General features: G+C 38.0%; 1 non-coding gene across 1 annotated transcript; it reads left to right on the top strand.

The window, feature by feature from the left end:
- The first annotated feature begins 314 nt into the window (after nt 1-314).
- On the top strand, nt 315-396 carry MIR4801 (microRNA 4801). The gene has a single exon (NR_039965.1). It is a non-coding gene; the product is annotated as a microRNA 4801 (primary transcript).
- Nucleotides 397-8,441: the final 8,045 nt, after the last annotated feature.

The raw sequence follows: 8,441 nt of genomic DNA, 5'->3' as shown, positions 1-8,441 counted from the left end.
CAATAAAGGAGGTGTCACCTATGGTGATAACACTTTATTATAAATTATTTAGATTTATTTCTTAACCTGAGGAACCAGAAAGAAAGAATTAGAGAGAGAGAGACAAATGAGAGGGAGAGGGCATGATTGTGGAAGGCTGACCCTGATTTTCAAGACAACTTTGTTTTTTTTATATCCGATTAAAATATTTTCTAAACGTTTTCTTCTTGTCCATAAATACTGGGAGTTTTTGAACCATGACAGGAGCCGTGATACCTGGATCCTGGCTCTACCATTAATGAGTTATGTGACCTTGAACAAGTCATTTAACTTTTTTGAGGCTTGGTTTTCTTATGTGTAAAATGTAATAACATTTCTTATGTTTAAAACACTTTACACAAGAAAACCAAGGCTCAAAAAATGAAATGACTCAAACCAAGTCAAATGACTCAAAACCAAGACTCAAAACAAGTGAAATGACTTGTTCAAGGTCACATAATGAGTTAATGGCAGAGCCAGGATCCAGGTATCACAGCTTCTGTTCCAGTGCTTCTTGCAACATACCACCTCTATTTTCTAATTTTGCTCAGGTCTGGCCCTTGAGGACATCTTTGTTAACCTGGACAGTGGGTGCTCAGGCCTGTGTTCACAGGTGTGGAAGGCTGGATATCATTTCTGCTTTCTAGATAGGAAAGAAGATCATTGTCTTCATGATCACACAGGACTAGACTCTTCCAACTTCTAGGTTGTTGATCTGATGACAAACACTTCCAGATTCTGTGTTTCTTTTGGGTCCTGCTCTTTCTTCATGAGACCACAGGTAAATCTGTACCATCCCAGACATGGGCTGGAGAATTTAAAGCATCTAGAAATGGGAAGGTGAAAGTACATGAAAAAATGAGCCTGGGACCAAGACTGTGATCAAAAACAAGCATTCCCCTCTCCATCCTCTCACGCTACCACCAATTAGTAGGCTAGACAGGTGCCTTATCCTTATAAAACAATGGGAGCTAGCTCTTTATAAAACAAGGGTGCCCAAAGGTAAAATTACCACTAGCTTCATTCTACTCACTGAGCTAGAAGGAGCCTTGTGATCATGAAATGAAACCCCCTTTAATATGTAGGTGATGCCCAAATTGTAATTTTATTAAATGAGTGGAAAGAAAATTACTTCCTAATAATACTGATATATGAGGATTTCCCATATTCTTGACCTGCTGTTAGGCTTTTAATAGGCATCTCATTTAATCGCACTACATCGAGGGTCTGGGCCCAGCACCTCCTATCTCCAAGTCTGACATCCCTTCTTGGACACTACTGTTCCTGTATATCTTTTGTTATGTGCATTCATTACCTTTTGTAACATATGTGCACTTTGCTTGCTCCGAAGTCTATGGTATGCACATGTACCTCACCTACTTCCCTTCACTGTGATGGCTGATGATTTTTCCCCCAGCTTCGTGGCTATGTCACATGTCCAGTTCATTCCTCGTAGGTGCTGGAGGTAGTGATCAAAAGGCACAAAACTAGAGTCCCTGTGACTGACTGTGACCCAGCAGAAAGAGTGCCCATCACCCAACCTGTATTTGCCTGCAGGTGCATTCCCATGTGTGTACATCAAATATCCTGGTCAGGAAACCTGTGGATCATTCTTCCATGAAATAAATTTGTTCTGTTATGGATAGAAGTGAAATAGAGCCCCTAGTGTCATGAAGAAGACCACATTAGCACATCATGCCACTCTTACTATTTTAGGGACTCCACCCAGTGAAGTCAGTGATGTGCTGTTCTTGCTTCCCTAGCTTGAAGAAGAGTATCAGACTTAATATTACATTCATACAGTGGCTCTATGATTTGGGTGATAAATAATTGAATCTGCTTTGCTAATGTGAGAAATAGATTATTCAGGGTCACTCAAGCCAGGGTTCCACTTTTCAAAGTTCTAGGTGGTAAGCTAGATCATTAGGAACCCACTTATTTGTTTACAAAATGGAAATTTTCAGTCTTTGTGAGAATTTGTCAGCATAACAATTTGCCAACAGAGACTGTTGATTCAGAGGTGTCTGTGGCATGATAGAATTCACAGCAGCACAGTTTTAAATAAAGTTACACCTTTCAGAAAGCGCTCTGATGTTTTCATGACTCAGAAATTCTAACTTTACCTCCACCCCCTTCCAAATCTGCGTAATGTATTTTTTGAGCAGCCTTCCTCTTACAACCTTCTAAACACATTGCTATGAGAGCACTATGCATGCCACACAAAGTAGAAGAAAGTTAAAGAAGTTTGAAGTAAAAGTTTGTAGATTATTTTGTATTTCTAAATTAAATATTTTATTTTCATTTTGTAATTGCCAAGGTTGTTTTTCTTTTTTTCTCCTTCATGACAATCTCAAATACAGTACCTTACAAAACCCTCCTCTTGCTTGTTTCATCATCTGATACTTATTTGGAGAGTTGCTTTTTACAAAGCACTTTCATACATGTTAGCTCATTTACTTTTAGTCTAACCTTCTAAAATGGGTTCTGCATTAACATTATTTCCCTCTCCTCTCCAATTTTTAATGTGAAGCTCGAGTGATTTTAGTGGCATGTTTAGGTTCACTCAGTTGCTGGATAGCAGAGCCAATGTCAAAACTAGATCTCCGAACATGAAGCCATAGATCATTTATAATATACCACGTGGCTGCCAACGTATAACAAGATCCATTTAGCCAAATTGATTAAACATCATTTGCACTTCTCTATAAAATTTATACTGGTGGGTAGGCAAACCAAATAATATGGTGTATAAAACACTCTACTTGGATGGCAATGTTAGCTACATTGCCTATTTACATTGACTCATATTTTTATTGAGCAGAAGCTAACTTCCACATCTTTTAATTCTGCTAACAACTCAGTCTTGTAGATAAGTACAAGAGGCTGAGACTTTAAATGACTTGTCCAAATTCAGATAGCTAATAAGTTGGCAAAGCTAGAATGTGAACCAGATTTATCTCACCCTTATGCTAGATGGAGTCTTTTCATCATGTAACACTAAATCCACATGAATAAGAAGGAAATCTTCCCTTTACAGTACTCTATATTGACATGGCCCAAATATCTTAAATATATTGTCCAGGTCAATCATTGTTTTCTTATTTTTTAAGTGCTTGTACTTAGCTAGAATAGTATGAAGCTTGAATGTATTTTGAATCTGCTTTTCTTTTCAAAATACCTTAATGGGATAAAGTGTTTTTATTTGCATATTTTTGCAATTTGCATATTTTCTGCAAAAATTCAATATAGATGATGATTCTATAACAGTCTCTCTAAATATATTTATTTGGATTCTACTTTCTGAAAAACTACTATGACTTTGCCATCTTCCTTTTCTCACCATTCTTATAGTTATGCTTTATGTTTATTATTTAATAAGATTTATTTCTTCACCAAATAAGAGTCTCCATCACAATCCTTTAGCCTGAATTAGTTATAGAGTTGCACTATGCATCTCCTTGGGTTACCCCTTGTAAATGTAAATTATCTTATCGCCTAAATTTAGAAAGCCATATGCAGAAATTGACAGGTCATTTACATTCAGTTCAAAGAAGAGGATAGGCAGCCAATTATATTGTGTTGAAGCCTTGAGAAACATTTTACAAATCAAATGATTCAAAAACAGGTTTTAAATTCCTAACTCCTGTCACTTCTTGATAAGTATGGGAAGATCATTCCGCTATCATTTGAAAGATTTAGAACAAACTTAAAATTTAGGGGACTGGCTTTATTCCTCTCCAAATAAATATAGTGTAGCTTTTTTATTATAAAAATGTATATTAATGTATCTTTTTATTTGCATATTTTATCATATATTTTTATTATAAAATATAATTGTATGTAACATTTTAAGAGATGCTAACCTATTTGATCTATAGATCCTGATCTATTCCTGCATTAGTCAAGATTTTTTAGTGGCAAATAACCAAAATCAACAAGTTTCTTTTCAGAACACAGGAGTTTATGCAGAACACATGGCCAGAAAAGAATTGAGTCTCAAGACAAATTGGAACCAGGAATAAGAAATGTCCTTGGGACAAATGGACATTATTTTACTGATATCCTAGATCTCATCTCTGGTTCTTTCTAAGCAACAAGAACATCTCTTTCCCTTGCATCTCTCTTTTTCTCTTGTGTGAGCACAGGCATGCACACACACATACCCCCACATAACTTTCTTTGATAGTTAATACTCATGAGCCACATGGAAAGACTGATTCTTTTTTGAAATCCTTTTCAGGAACTAGGGAACAGCAAAGTAATTGAGTAAACATATTTGTGTTCATTTTAAGTTGATGCTTTCCTGTGGCTCTTTCCACTCTTCCAGGAAGTTAGCATACCCCAACACAAATACTAACGTAAAACTGTACTCACAGTTTACCTTTTGTTTTTCTCTGCTGTCAAAAAATAATTACTATGTACTTCATATTAGCAAGGACATCACTGGGTTTGTTCCTCCAAACGAATCTTTCTCTGGAAAGAATTTTGTAATTCTTTCTTTTTATTTAAATAAGTGATTTTTGGAAAATGATTTAAACACTACTTGCTCAGTTGTAAGATGCTCAGGGGAGTAAAGTAAGTAGGAAGGAGTGAGTCAAATTAGAATTTTGCCACCTGATATGGTTTGGCTGTGTCCCCTACCCAAATCTCATCTTGAATTGTAGCTCCCTTAATTCCCACATGTGGTGAGAGGGACGTGGTAGAAGGTAATTGAGTCATCGGGGAGGGTCTTTCCTGTGCTGTTCTTATGATAATGAATAAGTCTCATGAGATCAGATGGTTTTATAAGGGGGAGTTCCCCTGCACACATCCTTTTGCCTGCTGCCATGTAAGACATGACTTTGTTCCTCCTTTGCCTTCCACCATGATTGTGAGGTCTCCCCAACTACCTAGAACTGTGGGTCCATTAAACCTTTTTTTCCTTATAAATTACCCAGTCTCAAGTATGTCTTCATTAGCAGTATAAGGACAGACTAATACACAGTCTCCTCTGAATAATTGTGTTAATGAAGATATGACAATAAAATTTACTGAACATAATCTAATGTATGGCTCAACCATCCTTTGAAATCAAGTACTTCTTATATATACGATTTAGATAGAAAAATAAGGAATCACCCATGTGTCCTACACAAGGTTCTTAGCTGAAAACAACAGAACTGGTGCTGATTAACTTAAGCGTATAAGCAATTTACTGGAAAATTATTAGATAGTAATGGTACTGTTGAAAGCTAGAGAACCAGGCTTGGAAAATGAGAGGAGACTGGAAGAGGTCAGCAGATTGGATCCACAGTCAAAATAAGCATCACAGAGACAGACATTTAGGGCAGCCTTGCTGTTGCTGCTGTCAAATCCTGAACACTGCACTGCACCCGTTACCACCAGTACCACCACTGGCATTATTGCCACTGAGTCCTAGACATTGCCATGCCTATTGCCCCACACAGTTCTTCACTCTGGCTTCTGGGGCCAGAGAACCTGGGAGAGTGAGTATCTGTCCTGGACAAAGATTCAGACTGTGCAGAATGTATGAACACTGGAAGGGGTTTTGGAGTTTAGATTGTCAAAATCCTCACACACCTTTATCCAGAAAATGTATAGTACACTTCCTCTGGTCTTATTAATATATGGCTCAGAACATTTCAATGCCATAAACAAAAATTGAGTTGAATGCCTTTTGTATTCCTAGTAATGAAAGTAGAATAATAATGCCCGACCACTCCAAGACTCAGATGCCTGGCAAAGCTTACCTCTTCTGGACAACAACCAAGAGCAAGAAAGTGAGCTAAAAGGAATCTTCTAAGCAGCCAGACTCTATGTTACAATGTTCACATGATGACTCTCACTGTCTTGACTCATGGGAGATTCCCAGAGGCTCTCTGTCAGACTCTCTTTACACTTACTGTACACACAATTCAAACAAACTGGGTTTTCCCAGTTGGCAGAACCACAGCAGATTACAGACATCACATCAGAAGAAGAAGGGCTGCTATGAACAAACACACTGCTGGAAATGAGAAATCATAGCTCACGGCAAAGAGGAAGCAAATGACAGCAGAAGTGATATGTATTCACACACACACACACACACACACACACACACACATGCACACACACCGCATTCAGTGATCTAGAGATGACTTAATATTGGAATGATGCTACTCTATAAATCTCAAAATGGGAAAGATCAGGGATAAATAGACCCTGAAGTTGAGATAGGTAAATTTCAGCATATTGCAAGTACTTGGGGGCAATTTTCTGCAGCAAACAACCCAGATAGTTGAGACAGATGGACAAATGACACTTGTGCTATCCAGTAGTAAACACCTACTAAGTAGGTAGAAACCAACAGTAGGCAGATTCAAGTAGAGTCCTACCTCCAAGAAGAACATTGTAGAAGCATTTTGCTTAAGTGCCTAAAGTAGTATTGGTGGTAGTACTGGCAGTAGTAGTAGTGCTAGCAGTAGTAACAATAAAGTAAACATTCACTGAGTGCCTTTCCTGAGGCTAAATATGGTTCTGTGTGCTTTAGAGACATTAAGTCATTTGATTATAAACTTCCATCCCATGAAGGAAGCTACTATAATTATCCCTATGTTACAGATGAGGAGGAGGCTGAGGCTAGGTGCCATCAAGGTACTTTGCCGAGGTCATACAGTTACAATGTGGTGGGGCCTGGACTTTAATGCAGGCACTTTGTTTCCAGAATCTGGGTTTCAACCTTTAGGATATACTCCATCTCTAGATGCTAGGTAGGATACCAATACAATTACCCAGGCAAAGGAGAACTAGTTCAAGACAAGGAAACTAGAAGAAAACTCAGGTTGCAACATTTGTCTTAAAGAGATGTAAAGTGATATTCAATGAATATTCAATTTGAGTCACGTTCATGATCTTATATGATCTTCCATATGCCAGAGTAAATTATTACTCACTGTACATATGAACAACCTGAGGTATACAGTGGTTAAATAATGTGTCCATACTCACAGACTTTGGAAGCAGTGAGGCTGGGATTCTACTTCCATGCCTGAGTGTATGCTTTAAATTCTGCTACAGGATACATTGCCTTGGAACAGTGCAAATGACAACTGCAGGAATGACCTATTAGAAAACTTGTCTATTCATATATTCTTCAATTTTATTTATTTGTTCATTTATTCATCAAAGATTAGTTGAACACTTCTATGTTCCCAGCAAAAAACCATTTCCCAGGAGGTCCAGTCTAGTATGGGACTCCAAAAAGATAGTGCTTATGTGGGGCAAGACTACGAAAATGACCATCAATCAATTTAGAGGCTTCTTAAACACAAGTAATACCAACAAGATAAATACACAATAGAAAGGTCATTAGTTGACACTCTAGAAAAAAGGGCTGCATGGAAGTATAAGGTCACTGTGACATACCTTATAAGGACTGGGGAATAAAAGGGGTTTGGTGAACTTTACTCACTCATGGCAGGATGGGGGTTTTGGAGAAAATCAATAAATGTGGTTTCTATACTGGCTCCAACACTTAATAATTATGGCCTTAGCCTAGTAAATCTCTTTCCCTTAGTCTCATTTTCCTCCTCTGTGAGATGGACACCAGGATGCCTACTTTGCTCTGGTGAATGGTAAGCATATTAGCAAAGTGCCTAGCACAGTGCCTAGTACCCAGCGAGTGTTACTACTGTTAGAAGGAACTAGATTCACAGTTACTCATTCAATAGGGGACGCTCGCAACAAAACTATGTTAGATTTTTAAAACTTTACGTAGTGTGGTTATCTTGTTTATATCCTTAAAGTCTAATAACAAACAAAATCAAACAGACCAGTCAATCCAAAGAAACTTCTTCGGAGGAATTTTGGAGCCTTGTGTCTTGTTTTTGTGTGGTTGTGTGCAAGGATTGCAAGATTATCAGCAGAAGCTGTGGTCGTTGGGTTCTACTCCATAGTTGGTATAATTGATGTGAAAATCTAGGTAAGAAATAAGCTAGAGCCACATGAACAAGGCAGGAGAAGCATATTGAGTCCCTGGGACTCTGGCAAAGAAGAAAAGAAGATCACAGACCCCGGAAGGCAATCTTAAAATTTGAACGTGGAAAAATCATATTGTTCTTCATGTTGGGTTCCAAGGTGAAAATGAAGCCAGGAGCAAGGCTCATCATTAGATTTGTGCTCAACAGCTTGTCAGTATTATCTGGCTTGAAGTGAAAGCCTGGAGAAGTCTGGATAGGTAAGTTGTAGGTACTGTTGAGGCTTTAAATGTGAACACTGGAATGATCTGGGGATAGGAAGCATTAACTACTTTTTAGCTGTCATACCTGCTATTCCTCTCTAGGATTTTGCAAGACCTCCTATCTCTATCTCCATTTTCAATTTCCCCAGTACAGCTTTTACAAATATTCTGTTCCTAACTTGTATTTCCTGTCTTCTCTTCC

This window comes from Homo sapiens, chromosome 4, assembly GCF_000001405.40.
Source record: "Homo sapiens chromosome 4, GRCh38.p14 Primary Assembly".
Taxonomy (NCBI): Eukaryota; Metazoa; Chordata; class Mammalia; order Primates; family Hominidae; genus Homo; species Homo sapiens.
Note: the sequence above shows the minus strand (reverse complement) of the source record. Positions and strands in the feature narration are given on the sequence as shown.